The 21,150-nt window shown below is 38.2% G+C and overlaps 1 protein-coding gene across 3 annotated transcripts in view, besides 1 other annotated feature; it reads right to left on the reverse strand.

The window, feature by feature from the left end:
* FKBP15 (FKBP prolyl isomerase family member 15) overlaps nucleotides 1-21,150 on the reverse strand; it is a 60,272-nt gene that overhangs the window by 23,594 nt on the left and 15,528 nt on the right. For all 3 annotated transcript variants that reach the window (NM_015258.2, XM_006717019.2, XM_006717018.3), the window contains 12 exons: nucleotides 18,362-18,436; nucleotides 17,932-18,030; nucleotides 15,215-15,364; nucleotides 14,256-14,324; nucleotides 12,333-12,479; nucleotides 9,428-9,570; nucleotides 8,893-8,950; nucleotides 5,872-5,979; nucleotides 3,790-3,892; nucleotides 3,194-3,300; nucleotides 1,650-1,764; nucleotides 96-205 (listed from right to left, as the gene is read on the reverse strand). In NM_015258.2, the coding sequence (NP_056073.1) occupies nucleotides 96-205; nucleotides 1,650-1,764; nucleotides 3,194-3,300; nucleotides 3,790-3,892; nucleotides 5,872-5,979; nucleotides 8,893-8,950; nucleotides 9,428-9,570; nucleotides 12,333-12,479; nucleotides 14,256-14,324; nucleotides 15,215-15,364; nucleotides 17,932-18,030; nucleotides 18,362-18,436 (1,284 nt within the window). The remainder of the gene's footprint in view (nucleotides 1-95; nucleotides 206-1,649; nucleotides 1,765-3,193; nucleotides 3,301-3,789; nucleotides 3,893-5,871; nucleotides 5,980-8,892; nucleotides 8,951-9,427; nucleotides 9,571-12,332; nucleotides 12,480-14,255; nucleotides 14,325-15,214; nucleotides 15,365-17,931; nucleotides 18,031-18,361; nucleotides 18,437-21,150) is intronic.
* Nucleotides 2,936-4,135: an enhancer, noted in NCBI's record as "P300/CBP strongly-dependent group 1 enhancer chr9:115949815-115951014 (GRCh37/hg19 assembly coordinates)". NCBI's record gives its function as "activates an origin of replication core promoter dependent on BRD2, BRD4, P300/CBP, MED14 and CDK7 cofactors, with strong dependence on P300/CBP, by STARR-seq in HCT116 cells {active_cell/tissue: HCT116}" and the evidence as "EXISTENCE:reporter gene assay evidence [ECO:0000049][PMID:35650434]".

Below are 21,150 nucleotides of genomic sequence, written 5' to 3' on the forward strand. Positions count from 1 at the left end.
CAATGCAGGAAATCAAAGAAGAGTTTACCTACAGTTCTGGCTGCTCCCTGTTTACATCCCCACTTTCAACATCACCCCAACTCTGACTCAGTCACCTTAGTCATGAGATGATCCATTTTATCAGCCACTTTGCTGACTGCCATTCGAATTTCAGTGTTATGTTGCCGGGCTTCAGTCATGAGAAATGAAGCCATATCACCTGATCCTAAACAGATACAAGCCAAAAAGAAACTTATGAAACTGGAGCAGAGGAAACTGTATGAAGAAAAGCTAGTAGCTCTTCCAGTAAAGAAAGAAATTAATACTTCCATACACTAGGAAATGCTATAGGTGACTTCACCCTGTCAGGAGAAGATATATGGGAGAGAGTAGAGGCAAAAGGGCTTCAAAGTAAACAATAACTAAGCCGTGTTCCTGCAAAATGCATCAAGGGCTACATCTGGTCCAAGGGCACAAATATGCCCACTTTGCACTGCCACAGCACCGGCAGCTCAGATTACTTTCCCGTTCATCCAACTGTATGCCAAGCATTGTACCAGGTACCAGGAATACAGCAGTAAACAAAACACGGCTTCTGCCCTTGGTGAGCTCTCAGTCTGGCTGGGAGACTGACATGTAAACAAATCATTACAAGAGAGTGTATTAAGTGCAAAACAATGGACCATATACTAGGTATAAAAGTAGCACAGAGAAAAGCACGATTAACTCTTTGGTGACACGCGTACACAGTTGTGTTTGTGGGAAGAGAGGAAAGAGGGACAGAGAATAGTCAGGGAAGGCTTCACAGAGGGAGATGACAGTTTTGATGGATGAAAAAGCGTATCCCAGATGGAGAAGGGCAGAGCTTCCAGATAAAGGCTGCATTCAGGAAATCCTGACCAGTCCAGAACCACAAATTATGTTGCAGGACATACTGGCTTCTTCCTACCACTGTCCTAATACCAAAGCTGATTACTAAACAGAAGACTAATAGCAGAACAAGGCAGGATTCCATCATAGCAGTTTACACTTTATCTTGGTTTGATTTTTTTACATTAGATACTCACATTTGTACATGCATACAAAATATCTGAAAAGTTACCCAAGTAACTGTTAACAACAGTTTCCCAAGGTCAGGGGGTTTATGGAGGGGAAGGACAGTAACTTCACTTTACACCCTTTTGTACTGCTTGACTTTTTTATAAAAGTCTCTTATTTTCATAATTTAAAAATGTTAACAGAGTAGCTTTCATTAGAGATACTAAACACCTATAGTATTCAACTTTCTCCCAATTTCCTCCAATGTTTTGCTCTTTTACTATTTTCTCTAAACTCTAGCTACTCTAACAGAGGAATTAAAAGGGCCAGGGGAGAAAATCCAAGGAAAAAAACACAGAATGTGGACACAAGGAAACATTGGGGGATGACGGAAATGTTCTAAAATAGGATTGTAGTGATGAATGCACAACTCTGCAAATTTACTAAAACACTTTTGAATTGCACATTTAAAATGAATGAATGTGTGGAATACATATTATATCTCAACAAAGCTGTTAAAAAAGAGAAGAAACAATGAGTAGAGAGCTGTTGGTGTGAAAATGAAGGAGGAGCAAGAAGAGGGAAAGCACAGCAAGAGCGGAAGATGAGAAACTGAGGGAATTACTCCCTACCTTGGAAATGGGGAGGCTGAGAGAGCGGTGCTGGGTACAAAGGCCGAACGGGCTGCAGCTGGGAGGTGACGGCAGATGCCTGGGGATAAGCGTAGGCTTGCATACCTGCATAGGGCTGAGAAACTGACGAGTTACCACTGGTTGATAAAACATTCATGTCTTTCTTTTTTGTTCACATTTTTCTTTGGTGGAATAAAGTGGATGAGCTGGGAGGAGACTCAAACTTACTGAAGCTAGAGATGGGTGAGATCTGGGTTTGGCAGTTGGTAAGGACTGCAGCAGGAGAGTTATCTATGTATCCCAGGGGAAACCAGTCACTAAAATCCTACCCAGAAACTGAAGAAAGTGTATCTTAGGTCACTACCCAGTCATCTGGTGAGATAATTAAGCAGGGATTCATTCCCCATTATCAGGCCTATTGTCTAAGAAGTTTTTAGATTAATAAACTCTGCTTAGCTTCCATTGAGTTTAAAGAAGAAGTGCTCACTGAGATTCCAAACCAAATCTGCCAATTTCCAAGGATGCCTCTCCCCTGCTAGATTCTGAAGCTAATCCACGAGACCAAGAGCTCTCATGTTCCTTTGAGTCTCGGTCACCTCAACTGTAAGAGGAAGATAATAATATCACTTCATAGGGCTGTTCTGTGGACTAAATGAAGTGAGATAGGTAAAGTTCTGAAAAGCTAGTAAGTTACAGGCCTGACAGATAGTAAGCGCTTAATAAACAGCAGCTTTTATTTTAATGAGGATGGTAATTCTTCCTTGAAATAAGGAAGTCTAGCTCATTTCCAGGGATAGATATAACTACGCATCCACTTAAAAAAAATTCTTAGTCTACAGCATAGTAATTCTCCATGGAGGAGAGGAGGGATGGGGAGAAAGAGGGCAACAGTGGGACTTTTTCCAGTTTCGAGACTCCCCATGTTAATGAGGCATAGCCTATCCACCATCATTCCCACACCTCCATTAAGCATCACAAGGAGTGAGCAGCTGTTCCCAGTGACAGTATGCCTTATCCACCAAGTGTGTTGAGGCAGAAGAAAGGGTCTGCTACCCCTGGCAAACAGGCTGCTGCCATTGTTTTCTGTGATAACAGGAAAAAGGCCTTCTTTAAGAAAAGTTTACTAGATAGCAGAGTCAAGCTACATTTTCCACATGGTTCCACTTTTAAACCATACCATTCTGCTGAATATACTGCAGAATGTTAGCCTGCCAACTTTTAGTAGAAAAGAATACAGAAGAACGCGAATATACACGCTTCAACTGGATATGTGTGAAAAGAAAAGGAAACAAACATTGATTGCATCTTTACTACGTTGTACTAGGGGCTCTACTTGTTCTTGCATTTAATCTTTATGACACTGGAACGTAGGTTATCCTTTGCCTGGTTTAGAGATGAGAAAGTGGTAACCAAGGAAGGGAAAAAAATTACAAACTCTGACTTTGGGGAACTGCTACTGTATGAAATGTACAGGAAGAAGAAAAGAGACTGACTAGAACCACAGCAAATTATAGGATATAATTAATACGGTTATAAAATGTTACCTGAAAGGATTGGGCATTTCCAGATACAGCTGAGTGGGAATCGAGAGATGACACTTGCATTAAGGCAGCAGAAGGTGCCTGGAGCCCAGTAACAGATGGCTGAGGTGCTAAGATAAAGGGAGACATTTTCACTGTTATCCACCCTTGCTTCTTGGTGTGAGTCTAGACTAGCACCTTACATACTATCATGCTTCAGACTCAACTATTTTCCTTGCCTAGTCTCCCTACACTCAGCTCTACTGCAATCTCAGGAATGAGCCAGTGGAAGGAAACTGGGTGCTCTCATGTGCTTCTGACTCAGCCCTAGGATCCCACCCGACAGGAAGTGCAGAACACACCCAGGGAGATGTCTCAATAGCTGAGTGCAGATTTCCAAAACTGACAGTGCAACACAGCAGAAGTCACAACCAGCAGCCAGGTCCATCTCTGGGTATGAAAATGCCTTACCCAGGGACAAACTGACAAGCGTCACACTCTTACATTTACACTTTAGTCCTCAGTACTGAAACAATGCAGCCTAACAGTTTAAGGAACAGTGACGATAATTTTCATGCTGACCCAGTTCAAGGCCACAGAGCCTCAGAGAGGTTCCTTACCCTGTGAGGTCATCTGTGGTAACGCTGGATGGGCCGGATGAAGAGAGGGCTGGACGGACGGAGTCACCACAGGCTGCCCACCTCCTTGCAGAGTGTTCACATCCTGAAACAGGAACAAGCGTTTGGGTTACTCTGTACGGGGTCCCTCATTGAAGACTGAGGCTGACTGTCTGCCCTAAACCTGCTTCCAACACAGGATTTCTAGGCAAAGAAGAGGAAGGAAAGGTAAGCGGAAGGCCAAGAGTTGAGGGTGTGGGTTGTGGAGAAAAAGCACTCTGCTATGCAATAAAGTAAGAGTCCTTCTCCCTATAATCATATTGAATAAGTAAATATAGTTAATTTCCACAAATATTCTCAGAGGTTGATGTTCTATTGTCTGAAGCAGCTAAACTAACCACTCTTCAGAATGTATCATTTTCCAAGCCAGTAACTGCCTTAAGACAAATCTAATCTATTCCCACAAAAAAAGTGGTCTTTTGCAAGAAATAATCCAGCCTCTTCGCTTCTTACAAATCATCCCCATAGTCCTCAAGGTACTCAATGAAAATCAGATAACGTAGGATTCACTGCACCTGATTAACATGCTGTTTTTGGATAATATAGTTTTAGGATGTTTTTCCAACATTCTTTATTTTCATAAAACCAAAGCTTTTCATAAAATCAAAGCTATAACTCTAAACAAAGTTATTCTACCTCCTGCTTCATATAAGAAACAGAAAATCTTGAGGCACAATATACAGTGACTGTAATCTGCTATGCTATAGTTCAAAGACCAAAGTTTCAGACATTCTTTTACTTTAGAACTTCACCTTGTCCCCTTATATTCTCTTCTAGAAAAACATCCCAGTTTTAGATTTCTACAGCTCTTAACCAACCTAAATGTCTAATAACAGAGTGAAAGGAATTATAATAAAATGATATAATGGAACACTGGGTTTCCTTTAAACCACTTTATTTACTTAAATCATTTATGTTAATGTAAATGTTTATGATACAACATTAGGTTTAAAAATCAGGTTACAAAGCAATATATAAAGATGAATGCCCTTTTTGTTCAATATGTTTCTTTTCTATAATTTTAAATTATTCTAAAATGAATAAGTAGCACATAAAATTTTTAATAAAAATATTCTTATTTACACTGCATTTCCAGACCAGAAAAAAATAATCCTATAACAATAGGCCTCAGAAATCCTATCTTCCTTTAAGATGTTAAATCTACATAGAGCTTTTCCAAGAAATAAAACAAAAATGTAAAATATAAAGTATATTCCAGAAAAAATTTTTTCAAGACCATCGCCCTTTCCTTGTTTTCTATCAAAGTAAAAGAATACTAAAAATCAGTCTAAGTTATATATTTCACTTCAATTGAGAAAGGACGATTATATTCAATAAAGAACTAACCACTAGAGAAGAATTAAGTTAAAATTAAGTTACTTTATAGCATACACCAAATTCCAAATGGATTAAAAATTTAGATCTAATTATAAAATATTGATCAATATCTTTAAAAATACATGTGATATTTATAATCTGAAAGTGGAGAGGCTTTCTAAGCATAATGTCAAAAGCAAATAACAAGGGGAGAAAATTGACAGACTTGAATTCAATAAAATTATTGAACTTCTAAATAGAAAACAAACACAAGAATACCACATACAAAGTCAAAAGACATACTAGTTGGAGCTTTAGTGATAGGCAACATCAGCGAGAAGACCAACATTTCCCAAAAGAATCTAAACATTCGCTCAATAAATATGAATTGAACACCTGCTATGGATTGGGCATCATGCTGCCCAGAGAGTGATCTTTAGTAACAACAGAGATTCTAGTAAAGAAGGCTAAATTAACTACTGAAAACTGCCCAGTTCTTGTAAAAGATCTACAAAATTGCTTCCATCTCTCAGGGAAGTACTAATCACAGTAGAAACACATGTACCAATACCAATCTGTATCATTTTGCATATTAGCTCTCTAAATAATGATTCTGCCTTAGAGAAAAAACAATCACTCCAACCAAATGAAAAGAAAGATGATGGCGACATCTGTACTATTCATTCTAATACAGCCAGGGGGACATACTTCGATTTCTGAATCATTGGAATCCAGCTGTGGTGGAAGGATGGGCAGCATGGGCTGGCCCATTTTAGCCATCCGAGAGATCAACTTGGCTTTGACTGCATCGGGACTCTAAAAAGAGAGGAAAGTCACAAAAATCACTGTGATTAAAGCTCATCACCTTCAGGCAGCTCTATCCCTTTGGCTCTTGTATCAAATCCTTCAACAAATCCCCCTACCATATCTATTTAAAAACATTTCCTCTAGAAAATGAGAAAGATTTCTTGCATAGAAGTATACATGGATCACAATTAATAGCAGTAAAAATAATTCCCTGTATCTTTGGAATGGACAAAGTGGTTTCACATACATTGCCTCATTTCAATCAAGTCTCCCCAGCAGGCATAATTAGTCTCATTTTACAGATGAAAAATTAAAGTGAGATGTTAAGAAAGGGAGGCATTTTAGGTGACAGTACCCTCACTCAAAACCCTGAAGCAATTCGGTAGATAATTCAGAAGAGATCTGTGGAGAAAAGGAAACAGGAGCTCTTTGTTTTAACTTCAGGTTCACTTAACTATGACTTGGCATTAACTACCCATTAGACCCTGTGCTAGAAGCTTCCATTAACTGATCCAAAATTTCAGAATGGCAAGTAAGTACACCTGAAGGTGCACAATATGAGCTATTGGGTATAGAAGGAAATGATCATAACCTCCATTTTTATTATTATTACTTTTTTTTTTTTGAGATGGGTTCTCTATCACCCAGGTTGGAGTGCAGTGGCGTGATCTCGGCTCACTGCAACTTCCATTTCCCAGATTTAAGACGTCTTCCCACCCCAGCCTCCCAAGTAGCTGGGACCACAGGCGCTAATTTTTTGTATTTTTGGTCGAGAAAGGGCTTCGCCATGTTGCCCAGGCTGCATTTTTATTATTTTTAAGCTATCAGTGTAAGACACTGAGTTTGCTTACAGGGATTGGTGGTACTTTATGTACATAATTTGTCAATAAACCTATACTGGGAGTGTGTGCTTATTTTTTCGTAACTGATGATGTATCCAAAAAAAGTTGGATACATCAGGAAAGGACTAGTTATATAGACCTTATGCACACAATGGAATATTGTGATATGCAGATTAAAATGAGGAAGCTCTCTATACACCAACATGAAAAGATTCTGCATTATATATATATATAATATAAATTATATATATATAGTTATATGGAAAAGGCAAGGTGCATTACATACAGAGTATGCTACTTTGTGTGTGTGAAAGGAGGGAGGAATAAAAAATACATTTCTACTTGTGTGCACCTGCATAAAGAAACACTGAAAGAATATATAAGAAACTAATAAAAGCAGTTACCTAAGGGGTGTGAGATGGAATAGGGTAGATAAGGACAGGAATAGGAGTGAGTCCTCACAATGTAGATCTTGTTATATTGTTTTGATAACTGTGCCATATAAATGTAATTACCTATTCAAAACAAAAGATAAAAACTAAAATGGAAAAGAAAAAGAAAAAGAAAGGTGGTTAATTTCATGTAACGTGAATTTTGCCTCCATTAAAAAAAACAAATTTGTTTAAAAAAAAAAAGAGAAGAAAAATAGTTGGAGGCCATTAGTCTGCTAGAAGTTACTATAGCCTTAGAAATAGGTAACGAGTTGTTATGACTACAGAGTACAATGGAACCAATATTGGACCATTTTTGTGACTGTTCAAAGATCTGAGATAATAATTATTCTTAAATTTTCTTCTGATTCTTTGATTTAACCTTCTGGGTTTAGGAGATCACTTCAAAACAATTATTTGCTTAATAATTCCTGTTGGATTGAATATAAACAAGTAAACTAGGGTTGCAGAGATATTAGCACCAATTTCACTCCATGCAACTATTCTGTTTCCCAGTGCAATAGGTGAAGGCCACAGGGCTTTAGAATTTGAAGTGCCTCAGCCACTGTCTGGTCCACAGGCAGCAAACTCAGAAGCCTTCACAGACCAGGCAGGCCAGCAGCAAACTACCATATGCATCCTTCTTAAAGGCATTCAAATCCAGATTTTACTAAAACAGCATGCTGGCACTCTCGTCTTACAACTGGGGAAACACAGAGGCTCAGTGACCTGCTCAAAGTCAATCAGCTGGTGAATTAGTACAGAGCTCCTCTGTGAGAATGAAAGTATAAAGATATGTAATGTTAGCAATACTTATGATAATAACAAGAGCTAATGTTTACTGAGCGCTTACAATATGCCAGACACAATACTAAAAACTCCATAGGCATTATTTTATTTACAAGTCATAAAAATCTCTTTGAGATAGGCAATATCTCCATTTTACACATGAGGAAATAAACATGAAGCTTAGAGAAGCTAAATTAAGGTCACAGAAAGCAAGTAGAAGAGACCGTCTAGGATTAACCACTAACACAATCCTCTGAATAAATAATACTTCTAAAATTGAAGTGCACTTTAACTGAGAGAGGCTCCTCCGTCAGTTGAACACCAGTCTCCTAAATCCTAATAATAATCACGGTGACCACTTATTAAAGACAAACTGAACAAAGGCTCTGAACTCAGCACTTTACAAATTATCTCTAATCCTCACAAAAACTGTAAAAAGGGACTATGAGTTCCTTTTAACTAATGAAGAAGCTGAGGATCACAGAAGTTAGACAATTTTCTCAAGGCCACATGCTTATAAGAATCAAGATTTGAATCCCTATGCAGAAGCTGAGGCTAACTTACACTGACTCCCAAGTAAGGGGAAATGAACAAAGTAACCATTGATTTAGCCTAGAAACTTTTTAGCCTCTTAACTTTTTTTTCTCTAACCTACCATATCCTAAGCACATAAAACCTCAGCACACTAGGAGTGAGGGAGAAAAACACTTTTTTTTTTTTTAAAGGAGAGACGAGGTCTCACTATGTTGCCTAGGCTGGTCTTGAACTCCTGCACTGTAGTGATCCTCCTGCCTCAGCTTCGCAAAGTGTTAGGATTACAGGTGTGAACCACCATGCCTGGCCAAGACTCTTATACTTACTGTATTTATTGCAAGTTGTTCACTGAGGGAGTTAGATTTGGTACGAAGAGCTGGCTCCCTGAAAGCAAATAGACCATATTCCAAGATTGAAAACAAAATCCAGAATCACAAGTCCAAATTATATTGGATAAGCAAATTGTTTTTTTAAATGTGTGCCAATTTAATGACTGTAAAACAGAATTTTAACTCTTCTTTAGTTTGCATAATCTTTGAATGCTAGTAAAGATGAACAACTTTCCATCCAAATGCTTATATTTACATTTTTTCCATGAGTATATAATTTTGTATTTATGCCCTTGGCTTAGTTTTCTTCCAGAATTTTATAAGTATTCTTCTGAGTTAGTGCTTTTGTGGCCTATGAATATTAAACCTTTGTCAGAAAAATCTGATGCAAGTATCTTCCCCATTTCCCTGATCCCATTTTTTCCAGTTATTTAAAATTATTTTAGTTTTTAACTATATCTCTATTTCTGAACCCCTCTAAGAATCATTTTTATGAGCCATAAAAGAGCTTGATACAACTGCAGTATCTTACCCTGATTTGAAAGGTATTGATGTGGGTGGTGACACAACAGGATCAGCAGAGAGGTTGTCAGCACCAGGGATGGGAGACGGAGCTGCAGAATCGCGGGAACTAACACTGTGACCATCAGAGCCAGAATCTCTGGCAAACTTCACCTAAGGAAACACCGCATATTCTCACTCATAGGTGGGAATTGAACAATGAGATCACATGGACACAGGAAGGGGAACATCACACTCTGGGGACTGTTGTCGGGTGGGGGTAGAGGGGAGGGATAGCATTGGGAGATATACCTAATGCTAGATGACAAGTTAGTGGGTGCAGCACACCAGCATGGCACATGTATACATATGTAACTAACCTGCACAATGTGCACATGTACCCTAAAACTTAAAGTATAATAATAAAAAATAAATAAATAAATAATAAATAAATTAAAAAAAAAAAAGAGTCATTGCAGGTGGAATAGGTTACAAATACCCTTCCCCTTTCACCCTCCTTTCATTTTACTTATTTTTCCTTACACAAGCCATTACCTGTTCACTGTAGGCAAATCAGAAAATGTAGCTCAGCCAAAAAGACAAAGGTAGCAATCACCTGCAATCCAACTACCATTATATTATCTGTGTCTGTATATACCTTTTACAAAAATGGGCCATGCTGTTTTGTAACCTGTTTTGCTCACTCACTGACATATTAACCTATTTCCATGTCATTAAATATTAATTTGCAACATTATTTTTAACTACTGAAGAGTATATTTAACTTCAAGGGTCAGCCCTTCACTGTTATGATCTATAGGAAAAAGTATCCAAAGGATTTTAGGAACTAAAGTCATAAATATCTATGCTATTAAAAAGTATATTTCACCAATTCCTCACTGTTAGACATTCAGCTTATTTCTATCATAAACAATGCTTCCATGAATAGCTTTGTATATGTATTTTTGTATATAATCTTAAATATTTCCAAACTATAAATTAAATTTTAGTTAAATATTTCCAAACTATAAATTAGTTAAAATTGTTGGATAAAAGGGATGCTCATTTTGAAAGCTTTTAACCCATTTATGCCAAGTGTTCCATTATTGGAACGCTAAGCTTGTGGGAGTTATTTATATCCTACTGCTCAAGGTCATCACCAAGGTCTGATTTTTCACAAAAAAAATTTGCAACCTCCAGCATAAATGGGTTAATATATACCATTAAATTTCCCACCACAAAGAGTGAACTAGTTTATACACCACAGTAGTGTATAAATCTTTCTGAACACTCTTGCCACATGGGGTATGATTCTCTACCAGCCTTGTGAATTTAATATGCATATCGATTTGTCATTCTTTGATTATTGGTAAAACAGAAAATTTTTTGTTTCTCGTGCCAGTCATGATAAGACTCAAATTGGTTTGTTATCTATCACCAGCCATGATTTCTTCAAACTCAAAGGAAAATTGACAGAGAATATAAAAGCTGTAAAAAAGAAAAAAGGCAGCAGGGCGTATGTCATTGAAAGAAGGCTAGAGTGGCCCAGCAGGATGAGAGTGTCCAGTTAGGAACAGTTAGGAAAGCGTCACTGAGAAGGGAAGCACATCCTTTCTCTGTGACAGGTGTAAACAGCCACAGTGAAGATGACCATAATATTCCCTATTTGTATTGTATTTTAGAGTTTATAGTAACAAATCCTATCACATTTGAACCTAACAAACAGTATAAAGCCAACAGGATCATTCTGGGCAGGGAACAGGTAGTATTAAGTTGACTAAGCACAATTTGTTGCATAGAAACTATATATATTCATGTTAAATTTTTTATATGGTACAAAAGGTACAGTGACAAAAAGTAAAACTTTCTGAACTCCATTTCCATTCTACAGAAAAAAAATCACTTTTAATGATTTCTTTTAAAGCTTCCAGGAATTTTCTATGAATATATGAGCATATATGTGTGTATACACATACATGTACATATGACTATGTATATGGATATGTATATACGTATACACACAGACACACACACATGCACACACACACACGCACATATGAGACCATACTATCCACAATGTTCTGCAACTTGCTTCCTTAACAATAGATTTTTCATATTCTTTAAGAGCTACATAAAAATCTATGAAAAAAACATAATTTAACCAGTATCTTAATGATGGACATTTAGGTTGTTGCCAGTTTTTTGCTATTACTATGTGGCAGAGGTAGTCGTAGTAAAACGTACACACACACAATCTTTGCATACTTATGTAAAGATATCAAGATAATAAGTTTGTAGCCATAAAATCACTAAGTAAAAAGAATATACACTGGGCAGGAGTTACTATTTTATAGACAAAATAAAAATCTTAGTGTGAAGAAGTGACTTTTTTTTTTTTTTTTTTTTGAGACAGAGTCTTGCTCTGTCGCCCAGGCTGGAGTGCAGTGGCATGATCTCAGCTCACTGCAATCTCCGCCTCCCAGGTTCAATCAATTCTCCTGCCTCAGCCTCCCAAGTAGCTGGGACTACAGGCGCATGCCACCACGCCTGGCTAATTTTTTGTATTTTTAGTAGAGATGGGGTTTCACCATGTTAGCCAGGATGGTCTCGATCTCCTCACCTCGTGATCTGCCCACCTCGGCCTCCCAAAGTGCTGGGATTACAGGCGTGAGCCACTGCGCCCGGCCGAAGATGTGACTTTCTTAAAGTCACAACCACTTCTAGACTCTGAATAGAGAGCCAGGAAGGACATAATACTTTGGTCCTTAGATTTCAAAGCTGTTGCTATTTCTGACTACTCCATTTCTAATTTTTCAAAGAAATCTATGCCTTCAGAACCTGGTTTTCAAGTATCTTCATTTATTTATTCATTTTGTGTAACTAGCAAAGAGACAGGCAGAGGACTCATCAAACAAAACACAGAGAGTTTCACTCACCCGCCTAACCTCCACCTCGAACACCAGGATCGAGTCCGTTGCTTGAGTCCAGCCTATTACCCCTTCTGAGCCAACAGCACAGGCTGGAGGGACAATAAGCAATCGCTTTCCTCCTTTTTTCATGCCCAGCATTCCATCCTCCCAGCCCTTTAAAAATCAGATAGGAAAAGCTCATCAAACAAGAAGCTCCTCAGAAGACAAAGTGAAGTACAGGAGCAACAGGTTTCACTTATCCACACTTTCACGTTTACTCAGTGCCTCCAGAGGTCGGGTCTGACTACTGCCCCATGTTGGTATAAGAATATCTAGAATACACCCTCTAAACCTACTTGTAAAAGCAGGCATATCTGGGGTTGCATGAAATATACTTATCTTAGATGATGAGAGAAAATGGGAGGAATAAAAGAACAGCAGTAAGAGAGAAAGAAAAGCTATCATTAAAAAGCATGTTTTTGGCTGGGCACAGTGGCTCATGGCTGTAATCCCAGCACTTTGAGAGGCTGAGACGGGTGGATCACCTGAGGTCAGGGGTTCGAGACCAGCCTGGCCAACATGGTGAAACCTCGTCTCTACTAAAAATACAAAAAATTAGCCAGATGTGGTGGTGCGCTCCTGTAGTCCCAGCTACTCGGGAGGCTGAGGCAGGAGAATCGCTTGAACCCAGGAGACAGAGGTTGCAGAGAACTGAGATCGTGCCACTGCACTCCAGCCTGGGCGACAGAGCAAGACTCAGTTTCCCCCCACCAAAAAAGAATGTTTTCTAGGAAGTGTGGAAAATGCTTTACATGCATGATCTTGTTTAAGCCCCTCCAAAAACTTCATAAGGTTGTCAGAATTATCCCCATTTTACTTCAATAACTGAAGCTCGTGGAGATTAAGTAACTAGCCCAAGATCACACAGTTAGTAAGTTGTTAAGCTAAGATTCAACATTAGATCTGTCTAGGTTCAGTGATCATGACTTAACTGCTAAGATCTATGGGAAAAAGTCTCCATAGGATTCTGGGAAAAGTGGTCATGAAATGATGGAGAGAACCTTTTTGCCACACAGATGAATGAGTACAGCATGATGCACCATCACTACTATGTCCTGACACCATAATATACCACATGTGTAAAACATTCTTTATTTTATAAAACACCTGCACAGTTAATAAAGAAAAAATTCACAACTTGAACCCAAGTTCTCGGATTTCAACCCCAGTGCTCCTCCTGCTGCTGTCACAGTTGCCTTCTACAGTGATTGGAAAGTGCTGATTCAAAGCAATCCAGACAGATGAGATTCAACCCTTTATGATAAGTTTCGAGAAGAAACTGTCTCACTTTTTCCCCTGTTAGGCTATAGGAAGGATGAAATAATATTCTCAGAGTCATAGAATGGAAAAGAAAAGGTCAGGACTACAGAAAACAATTGTAACCATCTTCAATGTAGTGTCTCATAGATAAAAATCTCCCAAATGCAATGTAACACATTTTCCCCTCGTATTCTTCATCCAGGCATTTCCAGATGTCAAAAAGATAACCTGATTAGAAATTCCACAGGCCGGACATGGTGGTTCATGCCTGTAATCCCGGCACTTTGGGAGGCTGAGGCGGGTGGATCACCTGATGTCGGGAGTTTGAGACCAGCCTGACCAACATGGAGAAACTCCATCTCCACTAAAAATACAAAATTAGCTGGGTGTGGTGGCGCATGCCTGTAATCCCAGCTACTAGGGAGGCTGAGGCAGGAGAATCGCTTGAACCTGGGAGGTGGAGGTTGCAATGAGCCAAGATCGTGCCATTGCACTCCAGCTTGAACAACAAGAGCGAAACTCCGTCTCAAAAAATAAAAATAAAATAAAAAAAGGAATTCCACAAAATTTAATCTAAGTTAAACCCACTGCAACTGATAAAACCATAAAAAAACACAGTTAAGCCTTTACCTTGATGACTTTTCCTGATCCTAACTTCAAGCGAAGCAACTTATCTTTGTTAGCAGTGGAGTCGAAAACCTGCAATTTGATCGAAGGAAATTAGGCCAGCCAATTTCAAAAATAATAATAACCATTATGATATTCAACTAACTACATACCAGCACACTACTTCTGGAATAGGGAATGTCAAATATACTGGGAAGATAGTTTCTAAAGGACCTGAAATATTAGCCCACATCATAGCTAAAGGGTATTATAATGAATATCTCTGAAACAGTAATTTTCCAGGTTTAGAAAAAAAACACATTACTACAACTGTGTATTTAAGCATTTTTCATCCACAATACACTTTCAAATAAATTATCTCATTTTGATGCTGACACTAACCCTGCCGAGTAAGCAGAGCAAGATCATTAGCCTCCATTCACAAATGGAAAAAAATAAGAGTATAAATGACTTGATCAAAGTCAAATTAGTATATAATTGGATCTCTAATTCAGATTTTTCTAAACTCATAGTCTAAAGGTCTTTCTCTCATATAATATATTGCTTTTAAGGGCTCAATAATATTAAAACACAGTAAGTTCAATGTATTTACAGTATCTACTATAAGAAAAACTATAAGGAGGGTCTAAAAAGAAGTTTTAAGACTTAATCCCATAAGAATATATTCAAGTGTAAAACTGGTATAGGAGGACAAGACATACACATGAACAACTAGCAAAAATAATAGTACTGGGGAAATTGGTTCCCACTTTCCCTAAGTAGAAGTGACAGGGTGGCACTGAGGATCTTTTACACATTCACATTTCATAATATGCCCCCAAAGCAATTGCAGTGTCTAAAGTGGGGATCCTAAAATATTTCTATTTGACAACAGCAGCCGTTCACAGTAATAGTATCTTCCCTGGGAATAGCCCTCATGCTATATAAGTTTACAAAAGAACTTGCAGGGTGCATTTTCTTACCTGGCCCAGCACATGATTCTGAAAGAGCCAGCCGGTATAGGCCACTTCCAAAGAATCTCCAACTTCTACAGCAGGGCCGTCTGCCACAATGAGGTCCTGGGAGAGCACTGCATCCAGGGAAGAGGTACTGTTGCACTTAGCAATGCACACCTGCAAGACAAAATCAAAGCAGCATAAATGTAGTTTAAGCTCAATAAGTACTCATTCCTTTATTGCTACTGCTCTTTCTCAAATAGCTTCATCCACTAACAAAACAGATTACATGTTTAGAAGTAAACCAAACGGAAGCCAGTTATCTTGCCAGGGATCAAAGTGCCTAGGAGTATGGCTTTGCAGTCAGAATGTCTGGGTACAGATCCAGGCACTGCCACTTATTAACTTTGTGACCCTAGCCAAATAATCTCTATGTACCCAAGATGGAGATGATGCTTCACAAATCTCATAGGATGGTTATGAAAATTAAATGAGCTAATATAAGTAGAGTACTTGACAAGGTACCTGGCAAATAATAGTAAGTACTTAATAAACATTAGCTATTGATGATGATACTGATTTACTGTTTCAGTGTTTGGGAACCTAGGAAAGAAAGGGGAGCTTTGAAAAAACGTCAGAAGGCACTTCTAAAGACTGCAGTAGAAAGAAGGGCATTTAAAAAATCATGTTGCATTCCCAGAATCCACATCAATACTATCTACAGATTTGGCCATATTATCTTAGCACAAATCTTAGACAAAGGAGTCAGGGGCATCTTTGTGAATAATTATTCTATTCTATTTATGAATAATTATTCTTGGGCTTGTGTTTTAATATTATTAAGCCCTCAAAAGCAATATAGTATGAAAGATCTTTATGAGTTTAGAAAAATGTGGATTTGAGACCCAATTTTATCAGTGTTTTAACATAGTATCCATTAGGAACTTGCGGCTCATTTTCTTTTAAAAAGTTTCAGAGGCTGGGTACGGTGGCTCACACCTGTAATCTCAGCACTTTGGGAGGCCGAGGTGGGCGGATCACAAGGTCAAGAGATCGAGACCATCCTGGCCAACATGGTGAAACCCTGTCTCTACTAAAAATACAAAAATTAGCTGGGAGTGGTGGTGTGCGCCTGTAGTCCCAGCTACTTGGGAGGCTGGGGCAGAAGAATCGCTTGAACCCGGGAGGCGGAGGTTGCAGTGAGCCGAGATGGCACCACTGCACTCCAGCCTGGCGACAGAGCAGGACTCTGTCTCAAAAAAAAAAAAAAAAAGAGTTTCATTATTGTAATCAAATAAAAACAATGAGGCATCATTTTTTTTTTTTTAACCAAGTGAAGAAGACCAAAAGAAAAAAAGGATCATTCTAAATGCTGGCAAAGGTACGATGAGAAAATTGATATAAATGTGAAATAGTACAATCTCTCTGAAAAGCAGTGTGCCAAAGTGTATTAAGAACCTAAAAATATCTGGACCTTTTGACCCAATCACTCACTTACTGAAATAAAGCTTATGGAAATATGTAGGGGGGAAAAAAGGACAGACTTCTATAAAAAATGCTCACCACGGTATCATTTACTGCAGAGACAGAAAACAATCTAAATGCACAACATAAGGTAATGATTACATCAATTAAGAAACAAATGTTATGGGCTGAATGTTTGTGTCCCCTCCGAATACTTACACTGAAATCCTAATTCCCAGTGTGACAGTATTAGGAGGTGGGGCCTTTGGGAAGTAAGTAAGCCAGGAGGGTGGAGCCCTCATGAATGGGATTAGGGACCTTATTAAAGAGATACAGAGAACTCTCTCACCCTCTTTCTACCATGTGAGGATACAAGAAGAAGATAGTCTGCAACCCAGAAGAGGGTCTCACTAAAACCCGACCGTGCTGGCACCCTGATCTCAGACTTTCAGCCTCGAGAACCGTGAGAAATAAATTTCTGTTGCTTAACCAGACTATGGTAATTTGTTACGGTAGCTTGAACTGACAACATGCATATTATGCAGCCTTCAAAAATGTTTCCAAATAGTTTTTCATGAGGTAGGAAAAGATGAATTATACATTTTTAAATAAAATAAGCATGATAAAGAACTATTAAAGGACTGTATCTACTTATGTATATTATGCATAGAAAAAAGGAAATATGTTAATAGTGGTTACTTTGAGTAGTAAGACTATGAGTGATTTTTTTTAATGCTTTTCTAAATTTTCTACAATGAGTATGTAGTAACTTAACTCTCTTTCTTGCTCTCTCTATCTCTTTCTCTCTCTTTCTTTCTTTTCTTGTACAGATGGGGTTTCACTATGTTGCCCAGGCTGATCTTGAACTCCTAGGCTCAAGTGATCCACCTGCCTCGGCCTCCCAAAATGCTGGGATTACAAGCGTGGCATGAACCACCACACCCAGCCTAAAACATTCTTTGAAAACACTATTTTTTAAAGATAGTTTTATTTATTCCTTAAGATAATTTATGTAGTAGAAAATTTTTTAATATAATAAGATTACATTTAGTCTTTCTCTGTTAAAAAAGAAAAAGGCTAAATTGTCAAGCAGTTTCAGTAAGTATTCCTATTATTTTCCTGAAATCATACAATAGGCCGAAGTGGCAAATTTAGTGGGTTTTTTATGCTAGTCACTAACAAAACACAGCAGATTATGGGTTTTCTATATGTTTCCCTAAAATTAAGGGAAATCCAAACAAGTATTTTGGCTTTTCACAGGGAGAGTAAGATGTTATCACCTGCTTATTGAACTCCACAGCAGCCTTTTCCGACTCAAACATGATGGACCAGTTCTGTCTCTGGTCATCATAAAAGGTGCTATAGTTATTGGGCCGAACCTGGAGAAAGGAGAAATGTTAAATTCATCCACAAGCAGTATTATACCAGATAAACATGACGGCCTAAGCTCATAGAGTAGGGTCTTGACTCAGGTGGACCCAAAGGGAACTATCAGAGATCTTTCTTCTTCCCTCTCACCCTCTACGATTCACCCTTCAGTCCACATTCCTAGAAGGAGCCAAGAGACCTTTCTGAAAGGTTCTGTTAGATACTCACAAGGACACCCAGGGCTGAACCAGTGGATCTAATTTCTATTAGGTACAATCAGACCAGTCTCTCCTGTAAACCTATCCCGAAGGAGCTAATGATTCCAATATGATGAAGTCTTACCATTAGCTCAAAGTTCACATGAATCCTAGCAACCGTAACTGGCTGTTGTTGACTGATATAAAGAAGAATCCTATACTGTAGACAAGCAACGACAGATAGAAAAAAAAAAAGAGAGACAGCAGAAGTTAAAAGGCAATATAAAATCAGCAATATAAAATCAGCAATAAGTATCAAAGGTTGTGCTTCATACTAAACTCAAAATCTATTCATCCTTTAAGGCTTCAACTTTAAATTTTATCTTCTCACTATCCACATTAATCTCTTCTCATTTTGGTCTTACTGTTTAACTGTAATTGGCAATGTCTTCATTTTGTTGGTGTTTTCATTTATACAAGGGGTGACTAAGAGTGGCTGGTTGTGTAAAAGAAAATACAAATTGTTTTTAAATTGATGAAAAACATAAAATACATGTTCATTATACATATATGTGCCCACGTGACCATCAACCAGATTTAAAAAATAGCAGAGCATTTCCCACACCACAGGAAGCTCCCTCATGCCCTTCCTAGTCAATAATCCCCACCCTGAGATAACCAATATTCTGACTTCTGTCGCTGATTAATTTTGCTTTTTTTTTTTTTCTTTTTGAGACAGAGTCTCTCTGTCGCCCAGGCTGGAGTGCAGTGGCGCAATCTCGGCTCACTGCAACCACTGCCTCCCGGGTTCAAGCAATTCTCCTGCCTCAGGCTCCCGAGCAGCTGAGACTACAGGTGCACGCCACCACACCCTACTAATTTTGTATTTTTAGTAGAGACCAGGTTTCACCATGTTGGCCAGGCTGGTCTTGAACTCCTGACCTCAGGTGATCCGCCCACCTTGGCCTCCCAAAGTGCTGAGATTACAGGTGTGAGCCACCGCACCCAGACAATTTTGCTATTCTTAAATTTGTATAAATAGGATTATACAGAGTATACTCTTTTGTCTTGCTTCTTTCACTCACCGTATCTATAAGAGTAAGCCTTGATACTTCATGTTCCAGGACTTTATTCTCTTTTATTGTCATGTAGTATTCTATTATGTGAATATACCATAAACTCTTCATTCATTCTCCTGTTTATGAACATTTGAGTTGTTTCCAGCTAGAGGCTATTATGAATGATACTTCTATGAACATTCTCCACGTCATTTTTTTTTGAGATGACGTTTCACTCTTGTTGCCCAGGCTGGAGTGCAATGGCATGATCTCAGCTTACCGCAACCTCCACCTCCCAGGTTCAAGCAATTCTCCTGCCCCAGCCTCCCAAGTAGCTGGGATTACAGGCATGTGCCATCACACCTGGCTAATTTTTTTGTATTTTTAGTAGACACGGGGTTTCTCCATGTTGGTCAGGCTGGCCTTGAACTCCCGACCTCAGCCTTGGCTTTCCAAAGTGCTGGGATTGCAGGCGTAAGCCACCGCGCCCAGCCTCTCCATGTCTTTTGAAAGACACAGACATTCGTTTCCCTCAACTTAAAGAATGTCCTTTAATGTTCCTTGTAGTGCAAATCTACTACAATGAATTCTCTCACTTTTGTTTGGCTGAAAATTTATTTTGCCTTCATTTTTGAAGGATATTTTTGTTGCTATAGAATTCTGTAATAGGCAGGGTTTTGTTTTCCTTTCAGTACTTTAAAGATATAATTCTACTGTCTTTGGATTCCAATTACATGGACGTTAGACCATGTCCCACATCAATCTTTGCCCTGGTCTCTTTCTATTATTTCTTCTCTCTGTGCTTCAGTCTGAATATTTTCTATGTTACTGCCTTCGAAGTCACTAATTCTGTCTCCTGCTGTATTCTGACTCTGTTAAACCCATCCAATATGTTCTTAGTTTCAGAAATTGTATTTTTCAAATCTAGACTGCCATGTGATTATTCTTATAGATTCTAACTTTTTAAATTCTCCATCTTTTCATCCCTTTTGTACTTTTCCTCTATTTTCTTTAAGATATTATTCCTAGTTGTTTTAAGTGCCTTGTATGTTAACTGCAATATCTAGGTTATTTGTGAGTCTGCTCCTAGTTTATTTGTTCCCTTGATTATTAGTTACATTTTCCCACCTCTTCACATGTCAAGTAATTTTTTACCGTAGGCCCAACTTGTATATAAAACAACATGAGGGATAAAATCATAAAACTCTTAGAAGAAAACGTAGAGGTGAATCGTCATGACCTTGGTTTTGGTAATGGATTCTCAGATAAAACACCAAAAGTACAAGTAACAAAAGAAAAAACTTGATAATATGGACTTCACCAAAATTAAAAACTTTTGTACATCAAAGGACATTATCAAGAAAGTGAAAAGATAATCTATAAAATATCTGCAAATAAGGGTTTAATACTCAGAATATATTAAAAGACTACTACAACTCCACAACAAAAAGACAAACAATCCAATTTTTAAAATGGACAAAGGGCTTGAGTAGACATCTCTCCACAGAAAATACATGAATGGTCAATAAGCAAATGAAAAGATACTCAACATTAGACATTGGGTAAAATGCACATTAAAACCACAATAAAGTACCATTCCACACCTACTAGAATGGCAAGAATTTAAAAATAATAATAATAACAAAATGCTGGCAAGGATGTGAAGAAACTGAAACCCTCATACATTGCTTGTGGGAATGTGAAATGGTGTGGCTGCTGTGGAAAACAGTTTGGCAGTTTCTCAAAAAGTGGTACATAAAATTACCATACGAGTCAGCAATTTCCACTCTTAGTATACAGCCAAAATAGGAACTTGACCATATACTTTTATGTCAGTCTTCACGATACATACTTTTTTTGTCTATTCCCAATAGAC

Source organism: Homo sapiens, chromosome 9 (genome assembly GCF_000001405.40).
Source record: "Homo sapiens chromosome 9, GRCh38.p14 Primary Assembly".
Taxonomy (NCBI): domain Eukaryota; kingdom Metazoa; phylum Chordata; class Mammalia; order Primates; family Hominidae; genus Homo; species Homo sapiens.